Genomic DNA, 26163 nt, shown 5'->3' with positions numbered 1-26163 from the left:
TGTGTTTCTCCCCAAGCTTCAGGTAGTACTGTTCTTATTTCTACCTACTTTATCTGACAAATTGTGCCCTTTCTTTTTTATCATTCTTGGAAATTTCATTGTTCTCAAAAATAATTGTCAATAGTGTTTACCTCAATCTTTTCTAATTCGCTTTTTATATTTAAGTAAACCTCTAAGGAGAAACAAAATTTAATTGCCAAATATATAAAATGTTTGCATGAGTACATATAGATACATTTGCCTATAAATGTGCTTTATTTAACACCCCACTATATTGTGATGAGATGATGAATGTGAAATTACTTTCTATAATATTAAAAATAAAATCTAAAGGGTGTTTACTAATTCATAACATAGAACTAACTGTGCCCACAAATGTTCAAGGATACTAAGAATTGGAATTCTGTAAATTACGTGGTAACTGCTTGGCTTTGTTCTTTCTGATGAGTGGTTCTCAAATTGGAATATGACTTAAAATCACCTGGGTGCTTATTCAGAGTGCACTTTGCAGTTTTTCACCCCAGATATTCTGATTTGCATAGATCTGCAGTGGAAGCTAGGAATCAGTATTTTTTAACAGAATGCAGAGGAATTCTAAGGCAGTGGTCCACACCTTTGTCAAACACTGCCCTCAGTCATCTCCAGCTTCTTAGAATGCCCTTGGAAAAGCAAAATTTATTTATGGAATGTCCCTGTGGAATACATTTATTACTGATTTTCATCACTGAGAGAAGTCCACTTAAGCTTGTCTTTGGACAGTGTTTTGATGTTTGTTAAGTTTTGAAAGTTCAGTTTCTGCTAGACTATTTAAAATACTATCTAGTCTTTGGTAATTTTAATTTTTGATAACAATATTCTGCTCATGGCACTTATTTTTTAAAGATTAATGCTAACAAAGATTTATTATTTTAAGAGCATTTAAATTATGATAAATAAGACTCAGTATAATGTTAAGTTTCTTCAAATGTTAAATGATATAACTAGCTTGGTCTAGTTTGTCAAATAGAATAATAGCCAGTTACACTTTTACCATTTATCTAGAAAATCAGACTTCATGGGCCAGCTGATTTGGATACACACACACAGCCATTTCATTGCAACAAAAGTGTTTAAAACTGAATCTTTATTATGAGACTGATTACCACAGCTCCCTTTACTTCTCTGTAGAAATACATTTTATAAAGGATGCTTGCGTAGCAATAACACCAAAGGCAACACATAGCCTACTTTTTACTTTGCTAACAGTTTTCCTTTCATTATATTAATAAATATAATGGGATATCTGCCTTGTATTGTTTCCTTTCTATGATCTCATTTTCCCTGGACCTGTAGCTTTTACTCTCCAGAAGTCTGGTTTGTACAGACTAATATGATAAGTATTAATATTCTCATGCTTGTGATTTCATATTAATTTTTGCAGGGATAGTAATTAAAATTTTAATTTTCCATTTTATAACAAATTTAAATGACAGTTATTTTAAAACAATAAAAGTTGATACATATATGTGGTGCTAGCACATTGTGTGTTTTAATATATGGCTATTTCTTACATAACTTTTAGGACAGATAAGCAATTTGATGCTGCTTTTCCGCGTATTCTAAGTAATGTTTATAGTGTATAGAATAAATATATAGAATAATGGTATAAAACTTGAAAAATCCTTTTATGCCATTGTTTTCTTACATAATATATGCAACTTTTGATTTATAAATAAAAAGGTAGCATATCAATAGGTAAACCAGTCTGACTACTCATATTGTCTTAAAAATGACTAGCTATCATGTTGTATAAAATGTGACATTATTGTATCAATATACCCCCTTCCATGTAAAGTACTTTTGTAAGCCTTCTGAGGGGTTCCTAGATTTGTAGGAGTGTAAGATTTTGTAAAAGATTCATTGGAGAGGGGAAAATATTAATAGCTCAGGCTCTAAAATCCAAGTCCTGGTTCATACTAATTAAGTGATCCTAGCTAAGCTTCTTTACCTTTCCAGGTCCCAGTTTTCTCATCTGTGAGATGAGTTTGATAAGATTTTGTACCTCATAGGGTAGTCTTGAGAATTAAATGGGATAATGTTTGTAAACATTTAGCATAATGCTAAGTAGTTCACTGGTTGTGAATTAAAAAAAAAAAATCAACATTGTAAGTATTCACACCCTTTAATCATGTCCAGGCCTGTGTTTTTAAAATTCAGCAGAATAAGCACCAAAATCCACAGTGCCTCTACCAGGAAGGACCATCTCAGTTTGTCTCCATCCTGCCTTTTTAATCTCATCTCCTGCCACTCCTCTTCTCAACCTTTCTCCCCACACTTAGATCTTTGAACTTGTTCCCCTGCTGGAAGTTAACAAACTGTAAAGGTGTAAGTACAATAAGTACAGTACAATGAAAATAACCATCCTCTTCACATGAGAGTACAGTCTTAAGAGACATTTGCTCTTTTGTGGTATCTTCTTTGAAAACCACTTTTTCTCCCCATCCCTCAGACCCCCCATAACATTCTGTTGTTTCAAATTTATTACCTACCTTTATGGTATAATAATAATTTTTCTGCACAACTCTGCCTCTCTGGGTTTTCCTTGCTGTGTAAATGATTGTTTCATGATAAAAATGAACAAGTAAATCCCAGCTGAGCTAGTTAGAAGTTTGTGTAAAACAGAAGTGCGTGAGCCCAATCCTTAAAATACACAAACTGCAGGGTATCTGTTTTTGACTTCGCAGAGCAGTTTATGTTATTTCTTGTTTTCAGCTGTCTTTAGAAAAAATCCACATCGAATAAATCCTGCCCATTGGGTTGAGTATTAAATTATTTAAGTCAAATGTCTACTGTGGGTACAATTTTACCTCTCCTTAAACCAGGCTGCATTCTACCACTTACCTAGCCGTCTGTGACTATTTTACTTGCTCTACTTTTAAGGGGAGTGTGTGTGTGTGTGTGTGTGTGTGTGTGTGTGTGTGCATGTGTAAGAGTCTTATATGAAGATATATATGCATACTTTCAGTTTGCAATATGAGAATAACCTGCACTTTTATTTTGAAAGGAAATAATGAGAGTTTCAGCTAGCAGTAGCATGACTGGAATGATGTTTGCTCTTATTTTGGAATATCATTGAATCTGGAGACTGAAAAGTAAACTCTTTTAGAGGAAGAAAAGTTAAACTTTTCATCATTAGGAGAAAATGCAGCTTGCATCAGAAGCAGCATGAGTAATTATGGTTCTGAGAATCCGCCACTTTTTTGGTATACTGTAGATAGCATAGTCTATTCTTGTTCTTGGACTTTATTGAAAAACTGGGAAAGATTGTACCTTAAGAGTGGGAGTTGTCCTGTATGGTTAGAAAATGTTAAATTGATGTTAATGAAGATTGACTGGATGGCAGGTTTTACCTACTCAAGACTTGTAGTATACACATTTATTTTAACCTGCCTTTCTTATAATTCTAGATACAAATTGCTTAGATGCTCCCAGCTGTTGCTTTAGTTGACAATTGGAAGTTTTTAATTGTACAATTAGAAAAGCAAAAATATAATGATATAAGACCAGACCCAGAAAAACACAAAACCTTTTGTTAGTATTCATGTGATCTGAAATAAGGCAAAAGAAATGTTAAAGGGATTAGTTGACACAGGAGGGAGATTAGACATTTTGGAAGAAAGCAGGCATAGTGAAACACGGGTTGGAAACGTGGCTGTAGTTAAATTGCCTATGTTTACATCTCAACTCTCCACTTACTATGTTACTTTGGAAAAAATACTTAAATTCCTCCTACCTCAGTTTCTTCATCTATAATGTTCTTGAACAGTGACTGATATTAGTAAGTAACCAAATTTTATTTCAAGCAAGGGATAGTTAAAAACTCACTTTCTAGTAATAATTACTGATCTAAGATACATGAAATTCAATTGATAATCTTTATTTAGAGTGCTATATTTAGTTTTTTATTTTAAACTAAAAAATATTTAAAAGGACTTTTTAGGTTCTCTTGCATGGTCTAAAGTCCCTCTTATTCTGTTTTTCCCAGGAGGTCTTAAAAGGTTTTAGCCACAGTTTCTCCTTCCATCATGTTTTTCAGGAACCTAACTCTCAGAGAAGTAATGCTGAACCTAACAGCAAAAGTAGATGTTCAGAGCAAGTCAGTTTTTCGTTAAACAATGAAGGTAACGAGCTCTTCTCTTAGGTTTTGGAGTCAGAGTTTGATTTGAATCCTACTCTACCCACTCTTCATTCAGTAATCAATATTTATTGAGCAACTTCTACACAGTGATGAGTTGGGGACACAAATGATGGGCAAAACAGACAAAGCTTCTGCCCTCACAGAGCTTAACATTCTTCTAGATTTAACAGGGCTAATTCAACTTTCTAAGACCTACCTATAAAATATAGATGATACATATTTCATAGAATTGTTCAGATAATTAAAAGAGATAATATTAAAAGAATGTAGTGCATTATAGTGGGACATATTGGACACTCAAATGTTAATTAATTTGTCTTCTATTCTAAATATACAACAAACATAGCCAATTACTGGTATGGAAAGATAGAGTATGCATTAAGACTTCTATAATATAATATTAATATGTTGTTGTAATGAATTATACTCAAAGAACTTTTGAAAATTTATAAATTGAGAAGCTATGAAACTTGCTACTAATAGATCTAAGTGGAAATGTTAGGAGAAGATATATTTGGGGATGAAGTATTTTAAAAAATTTTGATTGTTTTAATGAAACTGATATTTCAGATTTTTATAGAACATACTAATAATTATGGTTTTAAGTGGTTTATAGATATAATTTAATATTCTTAAGACTCTATGAGGTATTTGCTGTTATTTCTTGTACTTTATAAATAAGGAAACTGAGGCATAGAGGTTAAGCAACTTGCCCAAAGTCAGACACTAAATGGTAGAGTTTAGAATACAACCCAGGCAGTCTGGTTTTTAAACATTGTCCTAGTATTTACATTATTCTTAACTATAACTTTTTTTCCTTTTCACTTATTCAGTGAGACATTTGTCACTCATATTTTTTTTCTTTTAAACAGTTGTCATGGATGCACTGGTAGAAGATGATATCTGTATTCTGAATCATGAAAAAGCCCATAAGAGAGATACAGTGACTCCAGTTTCAATATATTCAGGAGATGAATCTGTTGCTTCCCATTTTGCTCTTGTCACTGCATATGAAGACATCAAAAAACGACTTAAGGATTCAGAGAAAGAGAACTCTTTGTTAAAGAAGAGAATAAGATTTTTGGAAGAAAAGGTAATTTTTATCTTTTACCTTCATTGCGTTTGTGACATAAGGAATAATTCAAAATACTTGAAATTTTGAATACTTTTTGTCCTGTCTTCCATGATTGTACTAAATTTCCAAGAATAACTCACTGCTAATCTGAAAACTCTGGGCATTATACTTATCCTGTGTTTCACATACCATGTACTTGGTAAATATTTGTAGGAGAGGATTTAACAACTTGGAGTTATATTCCAAATATTTTTCTTTCATTTTCAGGTTTACTTACCTCCATAGCTGTATGTATTTTATTCAGAATTTTCAAATCTGGGCAAAAAAAAAAAAGATATACCAACAAAGGAAATTAAGTATCAAAGGAGGAAGCTTCTGGAACATTGTCCAATAGGTTTAATAATATCTTTACCAAGGCTGAAATCTTTACTTCAACATTCTTTCTCTTCTTTAACACATGTAATAGGAATAATGCTTTTAATTGATCAACTGATGTTTTCTGTTTACCTTTCCATGTATAATTGTGACACATCTAACTGTTACAGAATATATAAGTAAGGTAGCTGATTCAATATAAAGCACCAATCTACTTGGCTTTATGTATGAGGAATATTCTTCAGTCATCCTTTTATTTTTGAGTTTTAAAGTTTTAACTTAGCTTAGTTTGTATTTTTTCAGCTCAGATAAGAGCATTTTTATCCTACAAAGAGCAGCTACCACAAAGGGTAAAGAATGCATTGTCCTGTGTAATATAAATTAATTATCCAAGGAAATGAATTATCCTATATAAAAAAAACTTGAAGATGGGGCTTGGTAGAGTTTGATTCATTTTTGGTGGGAAGTAAGAGAAAAGGAGTCGGTTGTAAAATAATTATAATTTCTTTGTATTCATATGAATTATATTTACTTTAATGTTGATTATGTAAATTTGTAACATATTGGCATACAGTGAGAGAAGGTAACATTTTGGGGCACATAGCTTTATTTTAAAGTTTAGTAGAAAAATGGGATTTTATGTATAGTTAACATTGGAAATATTTCTGTACTTCATGACCAACAATCCTATTAATTCCTATCCTGTAATATAAAGGATTTAACAAATTAACACACACATCTATTTCTTAAAAAGTCAAGTATGCCTTGGCTGGGCACGGTGGCTCACACCTGTAATTCCAGCCCTTTGGGAGGCCGAGGTGGGTGGATTGCCTGAAGTCAGGAGTCCAAGACCAGACTGGCCAACATGGTGAAACCCTGTCTCTACTAAAAATACAAAAATTAGCAGGGCGTGGTGGTGCACCTATATTCCCAGCTCCTCGGAAGCTGAGGCAGGACAATCACTTAAACCTGGGAGGCGGAGGTTGCAGTGAGCTGAGATCGCCCCATTGCACTCCAGCCTGGGTGATGAGAGCGAAACTCAGTCTCGAAAAAAAAAAAAAGTCAAGTATGCCCTAAGGTGCTGCTTTTTCTGATTATAGAAATTAGATACTTTTAATTTAAAAAACATCTAAGCAGTGTGTATCACATCTATACTCTGTTGTGATTATGATGATTTAATGTTATAAAACAGACACCATGAATTATAAAATACTGATTATGTAAAAGCATAGAAGGCTTCAAAAAATATTCTACACATTTTTGCTTTCTATGTAAAGATTAATTTGTGGAAATGAAATACTCACCTAATGAATCCAGGCTTTATCCCCTTATTACGATTGAAGTAAGATATGGAGCCATCAGAACACTGACTTATTTTTTATCTATAGAATACTCTCTTAAGCTTTCTCTTCTAATTTCATACCGTTAGCTAATAGCTCGATTTGAAGAAGAAACAAGTTCCGTGGGACGAGAACAAGTAAATAAGGCCTATCATGCATATCGAGAGGTTTGCATTGATAGAGATAATTTGAAGAGCAAACTGGACAAAATGGTAAGTTGATTTGAAGCGAATGACATCTGCATTTTGGAAATGAATTTTCTCCTTCAAGAGGTTTAAAATTAGAAGTAAGTTAAATATTTACATTTAGTAATTAAAATTTTGTATACATGTTCAAGGCAAAATGGAAATTTTAGTAATATTTTAACTTATTTTTATGTAAAATATTTAGTATGTAATGATGTTTAGGACTTAAATACATCTAACACCACCGACTTATTTTGAAAAACTATGACATGGTAGATTTAGTCTTTTTTTTTTTTTAAGCCAGTGAATAATGATGTCCTAAATTAGGAAAAGAAAAAAAGACATTTCTGAGAAACTGAGTTCATTTTGTCACCTTGCTTTTAAAGACAAGAATGTGTTTTTTTCAGTATCTTCCTGAAAATTACAATATACCAACGTGTAGATTTTATTGAATGTAATTTGGCATTTTCCCTACTTAACTAGAATAAAGACAACTCTGAATCTTTGAAAGTATTGAATGAGCAGCTACAATCTAAAGAAGTAGAACTCCTCCAGCTGAGGACAGAGGTGGAAACTCAGCAGGGTATGCCAGTTACTTGTTATAAATATTCTAACAGAATTAACATATTTTTCCATTTATTTGTAATATCAACAGTTTTCTGTATCCATATGCTAAGACCTTAACTTATTTTTTAATTTTTAGGTTTATGTTAATTTCTCTGTTCTACCTTCACATAATATCAACTTCCTTTAACTTTTCCTTAGCTATATATTGCACTTTTCCTAGAGAAAATGTGATGGTTTTTATTCAGGTCTAGGTTGTGATGAAGCAGAAGAGGAAAAGAGTAGAAGCCCAGAAGCAAGAAGTAGAAGTGAAATCATCTAGCCCACTGGTTGTCCTGGCTTCTCTTTCTTACTGAACATCTTGCCCACAGTTAAACACACTGCTGTGAAGTTGTTACAATTTCTTTTTCTTTCCAAAGGTTGTTAAAAGGTGCAGATGAAATGTTGGGGTGGAAAGTTGGATCTGGGGCATATGGATAAATAGCCTGCTCCCATGAATATTCATTATGATGAGACAAGCTAAGAAGGTCTGAGAGACCTTCTGATAGGAGATTGAGATGCAATCTCTTAGCATAGCTAGTTGGAGCTTTTTGTAGCTAGAGAGACTGAGGTGCTAATTAAAGAATAAAGCAGTATCCAGTTTATTGAGTTTCTGCAGTGGAATGTTTAAGGATAAATTGTTTTGACATCATGCTCTGAGCTTGTTGGTCAAACTTCATACCTCTGAGAGGACTGGATGGAATGATTAGCTGAGCCTCAGTTTATTCAGTTTATTATTTTTATCACTGTTTTAACCTTATGCAGAATATTGATCTGTCTGCAATTTTAGCATATGCTTATTTTAGTGTAGTTGTCTTTAGAAATTCTAAAACAAGATTGCTAGATTTCTCATTCTCCTTAGCATAGATATTTGAAAGTATTAATAATTACTGTTTTTAAAAAACTATTGATCATATATGTTTTATGTTAGTTTTTCTATTATCTACATTTTACCAGAATAACCTATTTTTAAGAATTGCAGTCAATGTAGAAGGAAAAGATAACAATTTCAGTGTCCATCCTTTTTGTAGTGATGAGGAATTTAAATCCACCTTCATCAAACTGGGAGGTGGAAAAGTTGAGCTGTGACCTGAAGATCCATGGTTTGGAACAAGAGCTGGAACTGATGAGGAAAGAATGTAGCGATCTCAAAATAGAACTACAGAAAGCCAAACAAACGGTATTACAGAATTATTAAATTGAGAATTTCAGTATTTTTTGTGTATCATATGTAGGATTTATAACTAAGATTGTATTAAACCATAGAGTTAAAATAAATTGTAATTATTTAGAGAATGTTCTATTCCTTAAAAAATTCTTGTTTATCTACCTCTTTAAGCATTTCTGCTAAAATTTGACATGCCATATACTTTTAGTCTGTCACAAAATTATACAATTTTGTTTTTTAAAAGGTTGATTTTTAGTAAGCTTATTAGTTTATTATAACTGTTCTTTCAGACTCTCTTTCCTTCAATTTCCTTTTCTCTGTAAAGTTTAAAGAGAACTCAGGTTTTAAGTCCTATATTATTTTACTTAATAGTTTCATTAATTTAGATATCATAAGGGACAACTCGATTTTTATAATTAAAACAACAACAAAGAAAAACACGACCAACAAAGAAAACATGACAGAGCTTACTTATTTTCAAAAGACTAATACTTTGGGGGCATCTTTAACTACCAGCAAATATCTGAGAATTCAAGAATTGGAAAAAAATAACAAAAACCTGCCAAGTTGCTGAAGTGTGTTTAGCCTGAAGTCAACCACTAAAACAAGATGCCTTTTAGGTCCTCACCAAGAGTCTGTTTGCCCAGTATTTTACATCAGGTTCTAACAAGCTTGGATCTATGTTTTCAGACATCATGACAGTGCTGAGATTAAAAGAAGAAATGATAAAGAAGCAAGGTAGTGTGAGAGCAATGCACCAAATGCAGATTTTAAATAATTATTACAAGAAATTGAAAAGCTTAGTAGTCTGGTGCAAATAGCCATTTTATGCATTCATGTATCTCAAACTAAGGTATAACCAGTTATATAATGTTTCTCCACTCAACCATTTTGCCTACCAAAGCATTCTAACACTATTGAGGAATTGTGTTTCTTCTTGTTCCTCTGGGATGCCACCATCTGAAAGGGGAACTCCATCCCATACTTCCTGACTGCTTTCCAGATTCTGCCCTGAATCTCAAGTGTTCTTAGATGGAGCTGATACTTCTTTCTTCTCTAATGTAGTTTTTATGAGAGGTGACCACTCGATAAGAATGAGCCAGACATTAAGAATAATATAGCAGTCTGCCTAGTCCTTGGCCAAATGAATTCCTCTGAACTGGGCAATGAGAACTCCCTTTGGCACCCCCATCCCTGATAAAAGGAAACACTACAAAAATTACTGTCAACTCCCGTTAGAGTCAAAGTGGTTTTTTTCCTACTTACAAAGTTGATTCCCCCAGCTTTGAGCTTGTGGCCACACACCACAATTCCTTCAAAGACTCAGCATCCTGTTCTACAGCTCAGTTACCATCACCACTGAGAAGCCTCTTTTCAAAAGATGGGTTTACAGGAAAAGATATGGACCTTGAAATTCTGAATTATAATTGTCATTATTTATATTCTGTTTGAAAGGAAATTTGATAGCCTTTATACGTGATAGATATTTTGTTGTAGTGTAGCAAGCAGTACCATGGAATCGGAAACTTAGCTCATAATTTTGGTGTTGCTTATTAACTGTTAACATTAGGAACACCATTTTACTTTTGGGAAGTTGTTTTCTGTAAAGTAGACATTAAATACCTTTTTTCATGAAGGTTAAATTAGTGTATATAAAGCAGTTATTAGGGACTTTAGACGTCTTCTAAACCAACTTCATTTACTGATCCAGTATCTCTTTTACTTCTTTGGCCCAAGAGTCTGTATTTCTCACAGGATCAACTGTTCTGAATATAAATGGCTGGAATATTAGGGGACACAGTTTTATGCTCCTGATCAAACATTACTATCATGCTTACAGGACTTAATATATTAATCACAGCCAGTTATCATAGTGGCCATTATATAGTATGTTCAGTAGGTAAATGCTTTTTTAAAAAATTTGATTAGAGTAATCCAGAAGGGCAGTACTTTTAGGTATTTATGTGTATTGAAATTTCTATTCTTAGCATTTTAGTTATTCTTTTCCACTAGATGGTGCTAGGGAATAAATTTGCTTTTAGTTTAAATTCATCTGTCATAAGTAACCAAATCACAGAAACAGACTTTTAGAGGTAGAAGAAATCACTTTCTTTAACTGATGACTAAGTTAAATCTGAGAGACAGGAAACTTTAAACAGTTGAAGATGAGCTAAGAGAGGAATATTGAAAAAGAAATATTTATAACATGGCCCCCACCTTCACAGGCATTTATTAGGGGTAGGGTGAGGCTGTGAAGTTAAAAAGGGCTCACTCACAACTAAAAGAAATGAACAAAGAAAAGGAAGAGTGGAAATAAAAGTTTATCAAGGATTCCAAGTTGAAATCTTGATGCATACTTTCAAATCTTGTTTCAGTGATGTTGCTGATCAGAATCCTCTTGGAGACAGGAATCTGAGAGGAAGCCAAGGAGAGAAATTTATGTTCACAATACTCTAGCCATATTACTCTAGCTCACATTAGTCTAGCCATTTTAAAAAAAATTTTTAAGATGATGCTTTCAGTGAAGCATTTTATAAAACCTTCTGAAGTATGTAATAGCATCCTACATGGATATAATAGTGTTGTTTTAGTTTGTTTGTTTGTTTTTTAAATATTTAGTGAGGGAACTCAGTTCATTAATATTTCATGTTAGTGAGGTTTCAGGGGCAGTTCCACTATGGGCCTTTTAGACTTTCTGTGTCCCCTAATATTCCAGCCATTTATATTCAGAACCATTGATCCTGTGAGAAATACAGACTCTAGGGCCAAAGAAGTAAAAGAGATACTAGATCAGTAAAATTAAGTTGGTTTAGAAGACGTCTAAAGTCCCTAATAACGGTAGCCCAGTTAGAGATTCACAGTGTACTGTAGTATATTAAAGGTTCTGCTATAGTATAGAAACCTATATAACTTGAACATTATTTCCCAAGATTTTGTAGCCATGGGCCTCACCTTATATGAAACTCCCACATCATGTGGCACTAGTTAGGGAACAGATCCATTACCACCTTTAGGACATAGGTGATCTATTACTAGCCAACAAAAGGGTCTTTGAATACTAGATACAGTCTCTATGAGCTTACTGCTGATGTACATTAGAGTCTCTGAATTGTTAGATAGTAGTTGGAAAAACATTTTCCCACTCAAACTGTCAAATTTTTTTATATTGTTGGCTTTAAAAATGAGGAAGGTTTTCAATGAACATATGCATAAGTATATACTAATTTTTAAAAAAAAAATTTTAATTCATGATACAAGGATACTAAAAGTGATCTGATCAGATTCCATTATTTCCTGTAAGGCACAGGAAAAAACAAGGTCCAAGGACATGTGTCTCGTTAGTGGTCAAACCTCCTGGACCTGTGGGCCAGTTCTGTTTCCCCTCTCCTTAGGGCTCCCTAAGATTTAACTTAACTGTTAGAGTATTAAAATCAGAGATCCAGAAATGTTTTAACTCCTATAAGATTAGGTATTTTTCACATTTTACTCTCAAGTTGAGAGTACTCATGAAGTCCTTGTGTTGCTTTTTAATGTTTCACTGCAAATTATATAATTTAGATTGTATTAGTAAGAAATAATAAAATTAAAATTTGTATTCTGAGCTTATACTGGCCACATCTGCCAGGAGAATTAGTACCTGTGATAATCATTTTCATTTGTTACAGATCCTTAAATGAGAATGCATTGCAAACAAGTGTGTTAGAGTTGTCTCAAACATACTAAGTCATTTAAAAATATCTTCTGAAGGTTCTGTCATATCTGCAACCTAAATCAACTGAATTTAAAAGCATATAAGGACTTTATGATGTCCTTGCCAGGTCATTTTTAATCCATGTGGAAGGAGGAAATGTATGCTGATGTTTTACAACAGTAACCTGTTAAAATTCTGGTGTGTTTTTGGTAATACTACGAAAAAGTGAAATACCAAAAAAACTTCCATTTTCCCATAGAATTCATTCACCCATACCATAAGTAAACAGAAATGTGACAAATGTGTAACACTTTTTTGAATATACACTTCAGATTGGTGTCTTTAGAAATATATTTTGTAAGATTACAAGGTCTTTTACAGAATGAGAGCAATTTTATTCTTTTAAAGAAAATTAAAGCATTAATACTTTAAACCATTGGACGTGATTTAGAGATATTTGTTATAGATTGGAGGTATTTCATTAAAATTGAGTATAAAATCTAATTGTATTCTTTGCACTTACAGATATATTCTGTAAAACCTGAACATGTCTCTGGTAAGAAAGAGCTGAGACTAAATAAATTGTAAAAATTACAACTTTTAAACTTCTTTTTTTTAAACAAATGACAGGATCCATATCAGGAAGACAATCTGAAGAGCAGAGATCTCCAAAAACTAAGCATTTCAAGGTATGACCACTCTTCAGCATTAAGACAATACGTTGTCTTCTTCCATAAGTCACTTTGTGTAGGTCCTTAGATTTCTTTTATGACTTAACCTTAAAAACAAAAAATGGATATTGTTTGGATACTGATGTAACCTCTGATCACAATAAATTTGTAGAATAAAATTTAATTGTTAATAACAGCTTTGAATTTAAGTAATACAAAAACAGGATGCCTTAAACTTTCTGAACATTTAGTAATATTTTAGGTATGATTTTAGGGAACTAGCTATGTGGAGGTATTCTGTAATACTGAATTTGTACATGAAGAATTATTCATTATATATAATAACATTCCTTTGTCTTAAGAGCCTACTTGGCCATTGTTAGTCTTTGGGATAGCATGAAATTTATTTTTTTTTGTTTTTTGTTTTTTGAGACAGAGTATCTGTAGCACAGCCTGGAGTGCAGTGGCGCAATCATGGGATAGCATGAATTTTGAGGACTGTTCCCTCTTCGCATAAGAATAGAAGTAGCCATCAGAGTTCATATACTTTTTCAACCCTTTTTCCTCAAATACGTATCATTTTTACTTAAGTAACTTCAATTCTGTGTTTTAAGCTATCTAATAATTGTTGTTTCTACTATGTTAAGATAGCCTCTCTACATTGTTACCCTCCATCCAATAAAAAATACTGATCTGACTTCATTGTTTTATCATTTGGCTTCCAAAGTTTACTGACCTAAGTAAATAATGTGAATTGTGTCAGGCCAATTTCTATCAAAAACCTGCTTTAGAGAAATGATCAATTAGGAAAAACAATTTGAGGAAATGAGATACAGCCACTCTTCTAGATCAGGGGTTGGCAGACTTTTTCTATAAAGTGCCAGCAGTAACTGTTTTATTCGGCTTTGTGAGCTGGCAGTACAGTCTCTGTTGTTATTTAACTCTGCCATTTGAACAGTACTTCAATTATGCCTTCGAATTTTATCTAAGTTTACTGCAAGGAAACTTTTTCTTTTTTTGAAAAATGTGTCTAGTATAGTATCCATGTAAACTATTCCTTAAAATTATCTTGTTATCTTTTCTCCTGTCAACCTAGGTTTCCCCTTATTTTTCTGTATTGTCCTTTTTATAAGCCACTTCTAATCAGTTTAGAAAGGAGTAGAGAATGAATAATATCATCAAAAGAGATCAAATACAGGGGCTATATAAATAGTACATTTGAAGCATGTGATATAGAATGGAATTTCTGCTTCCATTCATGGGAGATTACATAATTTGGGTCATATCCACTAAGAATTTCTTGAAAACCTGACTCCCCCAGAAAATACCTGTTTGAAGGCATCAGATAACTAACAAAATACTGAAAAAATCTCTGTGCCAGGATTTGGGGAAAGTTGAGTCCCAAGGAGATATTTTCAAGGCTGCAAAGCTGTAATTGTGGCTCCAGAGTATAGTCTCGCAATTCTTTAAAGCTCAGTATCAATTCAGAGGACAGTTTTTAGAAATAATTGCCTTAAATTCAGTTTAAAAGTTACTTCACGTTAAAGCCATACCAACAGTATGTATGTAAAGAATTGTGTAATTACAGCATGTTCCAGTGGCTCTCTTAGTGCTCATATACACTTGTGGTTTTTTGCAAATTGGTTTGCATTTGTATCAGGTAGACAATGTGAACTGCAAAACTGATTAGGTTTCTCTCTTCTGGTTATGTACTAGAAAACTTATAACCAAATTTGTGGCCTACTGTTGGTCAACTTTTATCATGCATTTTTATGTTAACCTCATTCTCCACTGCATTTTGTTTTGTTTTCTATTTTTCGCCTCATCATTTCTGCCTGTTTGCAGTTTATGTTCTTGTGTTTTGTTAATCTTTGTAAGTTACTTCATCCACTTTTAAGAGGAACAATTCAGATGACAGATTAGTTTACTATATTGGAGAAAGTATATAGGGATATTTCCATTAAACCATTAACTAAAGGTTTAGATATTTTTAAGGAATATTTTTCAGTTATTTAGATAACTTGCTTTTTTGGAACTCTCCTTTTTTGTATTTCTTCCATCATATTGCTAGGCAAATGAGGTGTAGTATACTGTTTCTCTATCTTAAGATAGAGTGAACCTTTTAATTACTGGAGGCCTTTTATATGATACTCCTTGTATAAAACATCATTTAACAATAATAGCCCTATCAGAAATTTAACCAATGTCTTGCCAGTGTCCTGTTTTGATTTTGGCTTTAGGTTGATGGCTTCAGTTTTTAAACCAGATCTAGACAGGGAGTCGCTGTACTTCTTTTGCTCATCATCTGTAAACTTACATTGTGGAACTGTGTTACAGATGACTTCCTAAAATGTAAATTCCAGGTTTAGAAAAAAAAAGATTAGGTTAGTGTTTATCAGGCTCTTCTGTGTTTCCTTAGTGCTGTGAAATTTTATTAGTTATAATAAGCATTATAAAAATATGGAATAAGTCAGAAAGAACACACCAATACCAGAGTGCATTACACACAATAAGGGTAAGTATGGTTTCTTAGAACTTGTTTTCTTTGGGTTGCAGTGTAAAATGATTCTTGCTGTGCCTTGCAATAAAAAATGAGAGCCACTTGTTTGGGGGGAACCGCAGTTGTCAAAATACACACTTTTAAGTCTATAACTCTTGGCTAAGAATATCCCATAGTTTAATTCTACTGTGATGATGGAGGATGTAATAGTTCAGTAAATTTTCAAATGCTAAAGAAAAATATGTATGGCTGAAGTAGAAACTCAAGTAAGTGGATTTTTCTTATACAAGGAATAGTTATTTGTGTATTAAAGAGTTCCATATATAGTGTCAATTAAGAAAGCTGGGCTTTTAGCTGTTACACTTTGTAAGCAGGACATGTACTCCCTCCTTCAGTTGTGGACATGCAGGTTTCACTTAAAAGTCAGAGATGTGAAGTTTTATACTGAGAAGTATAAAACTTATAAGATTGTGTTGGCAGTCAGCATATTGTAGGTGCTTGGTAATTGATGATGATATCAAAAATGTTACTCCAAAAGGGCAGTGATCAGTCATTAGACCGGGTTAAGTGAAAGACAGCTTTGAACAGCAACATGGCAGACTGGAGTAGACTTCTCAACCCATTTCCTCGTGTGTAAAATGAGGTTACTCACTTTACCAAGTTGGTGTGACAATGTAGGTGAAGTGCCTAGTATATAATAAGTGCTCAGCCATCATTATTTGTGCTTTATCTGTTTTTAGAGTTCTCATTTGAGAAGTTTCAGTGTAACATTTCAATATTTTAAGTAGTTGTATAAGTTCTTTATAGACAACTATATATATTACTAGCATTTTGCTTGTGTGGCATTTAAAGCAAAACTAAACTTTATACTCCCAGTTGGGGAACTGCGGTGAGGATAGGAAGGTCACAATCTATACATTGTCTTTGAAATACCTAGATAAGAGGTTTAATTGGAAGCCTGCTAAAAATTAGGGATGACAACTTGCCTTTTCCAATATCATTTAAATAATGGTTTAAACATTTTGTTCAAGTAGATAGAATTTAAAATAATTTTTTACACACTTTGAAGATTGTAGCACTTTTAATGTTAACTGTAAAGTGGGAAACACTAACTGCAGTTATTTTCTTATCCACAAGAGGGAGAGCTATACTTAGTAATAATTTTAGATTTGTCTATCTGTAGTTTTAAATTCAGGTTACATTAAGAGCAAAAAACAAGACTACATGTGTATTAAACTCAGTGACCTAGTTTTTAACTAAACCTAAGTTTTAAGCAGTCTTCATTAAATTGAACTGAAAAGTTTTTATTAGGCACTGTAAACGTTACTAGAATTGTTTATTTCCATGCCTAGCTGTGTATTTTAGTACTCAGAACTGTCTTCAGTATTTGCTCTTCTTTTCTCTAAAACAGGCACTGATTTACTGTCTCGCACCAATAATAAACTATTTTTAAGCTGTATTATTCATACCATGACTGAATGAATGAATTAGCACATGTTCAGTGTTTACACTTACTGCTATATAATGTGAGTAACTCTTCGGAAAGCATACTGAATGCCTAGAATTGTACCAAGAAACCAACAACTCTCTTCACACTTAAGACAGGTTCCTATGTGAAACATTCATTGTAGCAAACAACTCAGATGTTTTTTGGTGAAGTAGACATGGTTAATTTTGTGAACTAATTATTTGACACCTATTAAAAACTTGCAAAGAGCTCTGATTTCTAATATACTACAACTTAACAAATGATGTTTACAACAGACTAAAGCAGATTTTTCTGAAAAGCAGTGTAAAGTTTATTGACAAAAAGGTATTTCACCTTACAGAATTCAAAATATTTTATATATTATATATTAAATATAAACTATATTCTGTAATTTGAGATATTAGATTTCAAAAATGTTATCCTTTTGAAGTTTAAGTGTTTATGGCAACACAAAAATTGAAGCATAAGGTGACACGTTTGTCTAGTTTGATTTCTGTACTATTAAAATTACACTAGTATCTAAGGGGTAATAATTTTTTTTTAATGTTATAAGATTTAGTCTTACATTTAATATTTTGTGATATTCCTGTACAACAAAATGAGAATATGTGCTGAAGATTTTAATTTCATTTAGTTGGCAATTAAGCAGCAAAAAAAGAAAATCATGAATGTCTGAATATGAATGTTTAATGGAAAACAAAATCTATAAAAATTAGATTTAAAATCACTAATTATAATTTCTTAGATAATTGAGGTAAAATACTTTTAATTATAAAAACAGGAGAGGCATTTTTGAAGTTTCTATTTCTGTTTCATATAATCTTCCCTCTCTAGCTTCTTTTTCCTTACCAGGAAATCATCTGGCTCTTCATGTCTTGTGCTGTCATGTCACATTGGTTTAGAACCAACATTATGAGACAGCCCAGTCAAACATAAAGAATGTAATGCATGAAACCTAAATTTTATTTTAATGTAGACTTGGATATATATTCAGCAGTTGATATATCATTTCAATTCACAGTGTCAAAACAATCAAAAGATAAATACAAATTGATCCATATTTGAATGAATGTAACTTTACTCTTAATCAGATTTGCAAATAAAGAATGTATTTCTTACTACTTACTAATTAATAGCTGCACATTACAGCCTAAAATGAAATCTCAGTTCTGAGACTCTGCAAGAAGCTCTTATCAGTTATAATTTTATTTTTATTATACCGTTTAATATAATAGTTAATTGCTACATATCAGATGGACAGTGTTATTCTTTCAAGATCTTTTCACTTATTAATGCCCTAGTTAAATATCTTTCAATTGTTTTTTTCAGTTTACATCATCTCAAAACTAATTGGAGCAGAAACTTGATCTGCATATTTCTAAAGTTATTCCCTTTTGTCTAAAAAAGAATGATGAGTATTAACTTTTTGTAAAAAAATTTATTTCAGTGATAATATGCAGCATGCATACTGGGAACTGAAGAGAGAAATGTCTAATTTACATCTGGTGACTCAAGTACAAGCTGAACTACTAAGAAAACTGAAAACCTCAACTGCAATCAAGAAAGGCAAGTCACTGTTTACCGGAAACCACTGATTCCAGCCAAACTGCCTGAAGAGCAACTAGCTGTCATATCTTATCAAAATCTCATCAAATGAGAGATTGATAAGCCAAAGTATATATAGTACATTCGCAGCCTACCCATTCTCTGCTTTGGCTTCAGTCTCATACTGGTCAACTTCACACATAAAGGTGTTGCTGATGTGTTTTTTCTTCAGTACTGTATTCTTTTCCCCTTGTGGCTTTTCTCAGCCAAGTGTTGCTTATGTGTATAAGACTGAGGTGTTAAGTTTGCTCTAGTTGACCTTTTACCACAGCTACTTCATATATTTGAAAAAAAAAAAAAAAAGACACCAAAAGCAAATTTTCATTCCAGTGCTACAGAATACACCAAACACCTAGCTTTTTAGGTTGTTTTGAAAAAGAAAACAAACTTTGATTCATTATTTGGGTTTTTGCATTTCTTATAAGCTTTTCTTTCCATAAAGGATATAGCTGATTACAACGAAGACTAGGTGTTCTCCCCTTATGCCCTTCAACCAAACAAAAATTTTCATTGCTTTGCCTTTCATATTTAACTGCTTGACTGATTTAACTTCTTGAGTTTTGTGTTAACTAGTAGTAGCTACTTTCGCCAAAGCTATTTTTATACCTTGGAGAAAAATCAGTACATTTGTACCTAGTATTACATAACAGGTATATTTCTGAAAAGTTGTGTGATACAAATTTGAATGCCCTAAAATTTACTTTTTAAAAATGAGATAGGACTTTTTATAAAAGATTATCACCATCTAGTTTAAAATTACTTATTTATATTTCACATTGTCTTAAAGAGGACACAAGAGGATTGTGTCATAAATAGTTCTCCTCAGGAGTGTTTATTAGTGAGGAAAAATGTTAAATTTTGGGAAGGAAAATTGAATGTAGAACTCCTTTTCATTTTTAGAGAGTTGGTTACATATAAATCAGGGAAAATAGTATGGTGTTTTAGCAAGTCCAGCTTAATTTTTGGTTCACTTTGTCCTTGAGTTTTCCAGTGGTCAGAGTTATATATGAGACCAAAGGTTGAATGTACAAATAAGATCTCTCTATAAAGGGACTCACAGAGTAATTCTGCATTGAGTTTTCAATGTAGCTTTGTTTACATGATAAATAGAACTACCAAAGAATAATAAAGGAGCAATGCTCTTTTCATACTTGGACATGGCTCATCCTTGTGTTCCTTCCTAGCTGATTAATATTTTTCGGTGCTTTGGAACATAAGTTTTCTAGCACTTTTCCTATGACAGTGGTAGGCTCAAGGTCACCACTCCTTACACAGAACTCATTGCTTTGAGGAGTACAGAGATGAGACTAGAACCACCTTTCTCCTGACCTTTGTATCACCTTTTTTCCAAAGCCAAACACTACACTTCCAGTTCTCCTCCATCCATATCCACCCTCCCAGGAAAAACAATGAACTTATTTTATAATGTCGTTCAATCTGTTTCTTCTAAAATTACATGAAGTCAAGCCTTAGTTACACTTGGCCATCCTTCTTGAGCTAAGGATAAACTTACCTTTCCACACTGGTAGGCTGAGCTGGAGGGAGTGGAGAAACCTGTATTACCAATGTGCTGGCTGTGGTGAAATAATAGCTTTTAAGTAGTCTTTTTCTAGGCCATTGCATTTGTACAAAACTTTTTTTTTTTGGCTGTTTTTTTTTTTTTTTTTACTTTACCTACATTGTGACCACAGTAGCATTAACATTTGCTGTGTTTTACAAGAAACAAGATTTCACAAATTTTATTTAAACTGCTTTATCCATAAAAGCCTTTGATATATAAAAACTTCATTTGGGTCTCACCAATTAAAAATGCAATTATTTCTAAAAAATTTGCTTTTGGACTGCCTGTGGACAAAGAGTTTGAGCAAAGGAATATTATATTTAACTAAAAAATGCTAAAACTTAAGAACTGTCTCAGTCCCCACTGACATGTGAACAGTCTGCAATCCTTCTCCAGCCACAATAAGAGCCAAGAACAGGATCTTTATTTGTATTTTAACTGTATTAGTTTCCAACTTTTAAAAATATGTAGTTCTTCATCTTTTAAAAGCTCTATGACATAGTTGGGACAGGAATTCTATATCCATTCTGCAGACAAGGAAAGAGACATCAGGAGCAGCTAAGAGACAAATATCTAAAGTCACAGTAAATTGCTGATCCAGGATTAAAACTCAGATCATCTGTCATTTATCTCCTAGTCACAGTGCCTCAATGATCACACTAACTTGGAAATCTTAATTTCATCACCAGTTCTAGAATTCAAATTGGTGAAGTGTTATCGAATTTTATGATCACAAATGTAATGAAAACTGACATTTAGTCTGTGTTTTCTTTTTAGCCTGTGCCCCTGTAGGATGCAGTGAAGACCTTGGAAGAGACAGCACAAAACTGCACTTGATGAATTTTACTGCAACATACACAAGACATCCCCCTCTCTTACCAAATGGCAAAGCTCTTTGTCATACCACATCTTCCCCTTTACCAGGAGATGTAAAGGTTTTATCAGAGAAAGCAATCCTCCAATCATGGACAGACAATGAGAGATCCATTCCTAATGATGGTACATGCTTTCAGGAACACAGTTCTTATGGCAGAAATTCTCTGGAAGACAATTCCTGGGTATTTCCAAGTCCTCCTAAATCAAGTGAGACAGCATTTGGGGAAACTAAAACTAAAACTTTGCCTTTACCCAACCTTCCACCACTGCATTACTTGGATCAACATAATCAGAACTGCCTTTATAAGAATTAATTTGGAAGAGATTCACGATTTCACCATGAGGACACTTATCTCTTTCAGTGGTCCTCCCAAGAAATTATTTAACAAACTGAAAGGAGATTTTGATTAAAATTTTGCAGAGGTCTTCAGTATCTATATTTGAACACACTGTACAATAGTACAAAAACCAACATAGTTGGTTTTCTAGTATGAAAGAGCACCCTCTAGCTCCATATTCTAAGAATCTGAAATATGCTACTATACTAATTAATAAGTAAACTTAAGGTGTTTAAAAAACTCTGCCTTCTATATTAATTGTAAAATTTTGCCTCTCAGAAGAATGGAATTGGAGATTGTAGACGTGGTTTTACAAAATGTGAAATGTCTAAATATCTGTTCATAAAAATAAAAGGAAAACATGTTTCTTCAAATTGCATAATGGAACAAATGGCAATGTGAGTAGGTTACATTTCTGTTGTTATAATGCGTAAAGATATTGAAAATATAATGAAATAAAAGCATCTTAGGTTATACCATCTTTATATGCTATTGCGTTTCAATATTTAAGATTTAAAGTGATTTTTTGGTCACAGTGTTTTGTTGATAAAATTTTTTTAGAATTGAAGTTTGAATTCTAAGACTTGAAACAACCTGATCACTGAAGCCAACTTTGTCCCAGCACATTCCTTAAGTCCTAATTGGGAAAAAAAAAAAAAAAAATGAAATAGTTGAAAAACTCTGGGGTGTAAACAAATGATTGTAACCCTACACACTATTCAATAAGTAGTAGAAGGAGCATCACACAGATTTCAGTCTAATCTGCCCTTCTGTGGGCCATAATATAAACATAAATGTGTGTAATGATAAAAAGTCATTTTCTTCAAAGAGACTACAGCTAGCTGCACATTGTGTAGAGCAGCTTCTAAATTGTTAGACTTTGTGTTGAAATGTAATATTCTATTTATTGAGAAAGTGATTTAAAATTATTATTTTTAATCATAGAAATCAGGGTTTGGGCTGTATTGATATTGTCGATCATGAAATGTCCACACTTATTCTAAGTGGCCAATTATTTGGAAATAAAGAAGGAAATAAAGATGGCTTCACATGGAAATTTAAGTTCTTTCAGGGTGGAGATTTACTTGGTTCATACACCTTTTGCCTGAATTAAAGTATTTCATGTAGGAGGACTTTTATCCTTTTTGATAGACAGTTTCATATATCTTGAACTCAATATCTCAGATCTCTTCTACTGTATTACTGAATAGCATACATACATAGACAATGTTCGCCATTCACTAGATATTTTTTTCTATTATCTTACACTTATTCAAGCTTGTCTGTGATTAATGGAATTGGTGTCAGATGCTGGAATTTATTCTGACCAATGAACACAGCTGACTCAGGGGAGTACAATCTCCTGCCAAGTAATAGAACCAAACCCAATATGCATAAAAGAAATACAATACTCCAGGCTTTAGCTGAAGGAAGCAACTACCTGTGTAATAACAAAGCAGCAAAAACTATTTCTCATGTGGCTGCATAGGCTGTATATTATATCTGATCTCTAATGTAGCTTACTGGTTTGCCTTTTTTAAAACCAAAATTGGAAATTTTCCTTTGTAAAGAAAAAAAGTCTTATGAGATAATTGCTTGATTAATGTTTTGAACAATACCAAGAAATTGTTTAATTAAAATAAATATTTTTGTTTGAAATTGAAGTGGATGTGAAATATTGTCCTTGCCTATAGATCTCAAAATCTAGTACTAATTGTTGGTTGTTAATATGATTCATACAATAGACATTTGTTAAACCAGCTTTTGAGTGGAGAAAATTATTTTCCATTTAAACAGTACAGTGATGATAGCTATCAAACAGGTATACTAAAAAGTCAGTGACTGTGACAGTTTAAAGTGTTAGACAAATGATGTATAAGGTTCTTTAGTAAGGAAAGATTAGCCAAAAATTTTTTACCCAGCTAGAAGCTTTTAAATCTACACTTGATATCTCTGTTCTAGGTAAAATTCAAACAACCAAAAAACAGTGGCCCATCTGTAGCTTATGAATCTATTTAAAATTGAATATTTTATGTTGACTTCTTTCATACTAGCTGAAACTTGCTCTAAAGAGCTTCCTTTGGAATCTTTAGATTTCTTTTTATAAGGTTCAATTCAGTACATCCATAAATCGACAGAATGAAGAAAACATAACAAAAAGCCACCTATTCCTTCCTCTTGCTCCCTTATTAGCTAAAGTAAAATTTACATCTGTAAGACTTACTGAGTTGCTGCCAAAATGGAACTGAATTCTTAAAAGCAGGAACATGCCTATGTGAAACATTAGAAAACCAAAATAAATGGGAAAATTCAGACTTGAAGAGCTGAATCATGTGACAACAAAGTACTGATCTTAATTCAGAAAGGCTACTTGGAGAAGGTGTATCTTAAGGGGTAAAAAACCTGTGGGTTACCACATATTAACAGGGAATAATATCAACAGAGGCACCCATAAGCAAGCAAGACACAACTGAGACAGATGTACCAGGTGAAAAAAATCTTCAGTATGGATACACATGGGTATTCTGAAGGCTACAATGAATGGTTTAGTCTTTGACATAAGGAGGATGAACATATTATTTATACTGTGTAATCTAATCTGGCTTCTATGGGGAAAGCAACATGTACATAAGTGAATTTTCTACATGAAGTGGGCTACTTCTGATTTTAATCAAAGCTATAAAATAGATTGTATATTTCACTAGCTTCTTAAAGTAACTCTTCCATTTTCATTTATCTCTAAAAACAGTTAACTTCCTGTGCTCTAGGAAATGCACCAATACCAAAGGTCAATGTGGAAATATGGGCATGTTTGCCCCTATGCTGTGTGGTCTCTAGATTTCTATATTTGCTTTGCTTTTGTCTGCTCTAGTAATCTCCCTCCTTTTGATCTGTGGCCTGGGAAAATGTGGTTTCTTTGTATTTCAAATAAAAGTAAAATAGTTTTTTGAGTGGTTCACTCAAGAGTAAAGTGTGGAACTTGAATTGATTCTTTAGTGTCCTATTTAAATTCTTTCTTAAAAAAAAATCTCTCAGATCTATTGCATGGGATTAGGGAAAGTTAAACCTTGTCTTAGTGGGTAGTAATTTCTATTTGTGATTTTAATGAGGACTGTGAAAATATACGTAAAATTTACTTATCTTGAAACTAGTTACAATGGCTGTGGAAGAGTTAACAGCTCATGGGGAAAAAATAACTTTTAATATAAAAGCTCAAATTATTAAATTGGGACATAAATTTTTTATACTACTTCCTGAGTCCATTACTATGTTACAGAATGGTAATTCACTTAGAAATATAACTTTTCAAAATGAAAGATTAAAGGACTAACAAGTTATCAGGTTAAGAACATTATGTTTTAGAAAATTCTACATCAAAGATGTAAGTAAAATTAATTCATATAAGTAGGTATCTCCTTATCTATGGTTCTGCTATGGTTTGATGTGTCCCCCAAGAGTTCATGTGTTGGAAACTTAGTTGCTAATTTAACAGGACTAAGAAATGGAGCCTTTAAGAGGTAATAGGGTGATGAGGCTGGAGCCCTCGTGAATGGATTTATGCCATTATTACAGGTATTAGTTCTCAAGAGAGCGGGCTGTTATAAAAGTTTGCCCACACTTGTTTGTCCTTCTATTTTTTACACCCTATTATGTTTTGATGCAGTATGAAAACCCTTGCCAGAAGCTGCTGGCAAATAAACTCCAGAACTGTGAGCCAAACAAACTTTTCTTATAAATTACCTGGTCTTGGGTATTCTCCCATAGCAACAGAAAATGGACTAAGATAGTTTCCAAATAAGCCTCTACTACTACTAACAGTAACTACCAATATAAGAGCATGTACCAGGTCTGAAGCACTGTCTTATACACTGTACGTGTACCTGCTATATGCAATACTCAGTACATCCTCACAAACTGTATTAGATTTACTTCCACAGCTGTATAGCTAATAAGTGGTAGAATCAGGAAGGATTCTGGTTCATAGCCATTCTGCTATACTGCCTAGTTATTATTAACACCTTTGAAGGTTGTCCATTCCTGCTTTTCTTTAGTTTTGGCTCCCATGATTAGCCATTAGCATATACACTGGAAAAAAATAATATAAGGACCATATTGAACTCTAAAAAATCAGTATCACTGTTATAGAACTATAGTTGTGGGAAAACTTTCAAAAGGTCCAGAATGACCAGGAAAACCATATCCCAATTCAGTAACTACTCCTTTCCCATTTAAGAAACCAAAACTTTGAAATAAAATATTTATTTCAGATAAAGTTAATATTTCCATAATTAAGGTAAAGCAAACATATATGCTTGAGTCCATTATTTAAGGACTATAAAATGACTTCCATGAATATTAGAGTTCCTGAATGTCATTTGAGTATCTGCCTACATGCTTGTTGGAAGCTTCTGTAGCCTTTTCTTTGTAGGAATTCCAGTTTTTCTGAATTCTTCCCTTTCCTTCAGGTATTCCATTTTGCATTCTTCATAAAAGGCTGGATCATTATAG

At 32.9% G+C, this 26163-nt stretch overlaps 2 protein-coding genes across 16 annotated transcripts in view; one reads left to right on the top strand and one right to left on the bottom strand.

Moving 5' to 3' along the window:
- Window positions 1–24625, top strand: part of AZI2 (5-azacytidine induced 2) — a 27778-nt gene extending 3153 nt beyond the window's left edge. For 2 of the 9 annotated variants that reach the window (XM_005265392.4, XM_047448718.1), the window contains exons 2-9: window positions 4076–4160; window positions 5050–5270; window positions 7057–7179; window positions 7636–7735; window positions 8787–8935; window positions 13245–13303; window positions 18722–18840; window positions 21218–24625. In XM_005265392.4, the coding sequence (XP_005265449.1) occupies window positions 5055–5270; window positions 7057–7179; window positions 7636–7735; window positions 8787–8935; window positions 13245–13303; window positions 18722–18840; window positions 21218–21630 (1179 nt within the window). In that variant the 5' untranslated portion in view covers window positions 4076–4160; window positions 5050–5054 and the 3' untranslated portion in view covers window positions 21631–24625. Of the gene's footprint in view, window positions 1–4075; window positions 4161–5049; window positions 5271–7056; window positions 7180–7635; window positions 7736–8786; window positions 8936–13244; window positions 13304–13717; window positions 13983–18721; window positions 18841–21217 lie in introns of those variants that run through there. The other 7 variants (NM_022461.5, XM_011534009.3, NM_001134433.2 and 4 more) reach the window with 4 other exon arrangements.
- The window catches only part of CMC1 (C-X9-C motif containing 1), an 83524-nt gene continuing 77890 nt past the window's right edge, over window positions 20530–26163 (bottom strand). For all 7 annotated transcript variants that reach the window (NR_138585.2, NM_001331187.2, NM_001331185.2 and 4 more), the window contains one exon: window positions 20530–26163. Coding sequence is in view for 6 of the 7 variants with exons in the window: in NM_001331187.2 (NP_001318116.1) it covers window positions 26043–26163 (121 nt within the window). In the remaining variant the exon portion in view is untranslated.

The sequence above is a fragment of the Homo sapiens genome, chromosome 3 (assembly GCF_000001405.40).
Source record: "Homo sapiens chromosome 3, GRCh38.p14 Primary Assembly".
Classification (NCBI taxonomy): domain Eukaryota; kingdom Metazoa; phylum Chordata; class Mammalia; order Primates; family Hominidae; genus Homo; species Homo sapiens.
This window is presented reverse-complemented; position numbering and strand designations above follow the sequence as displayed.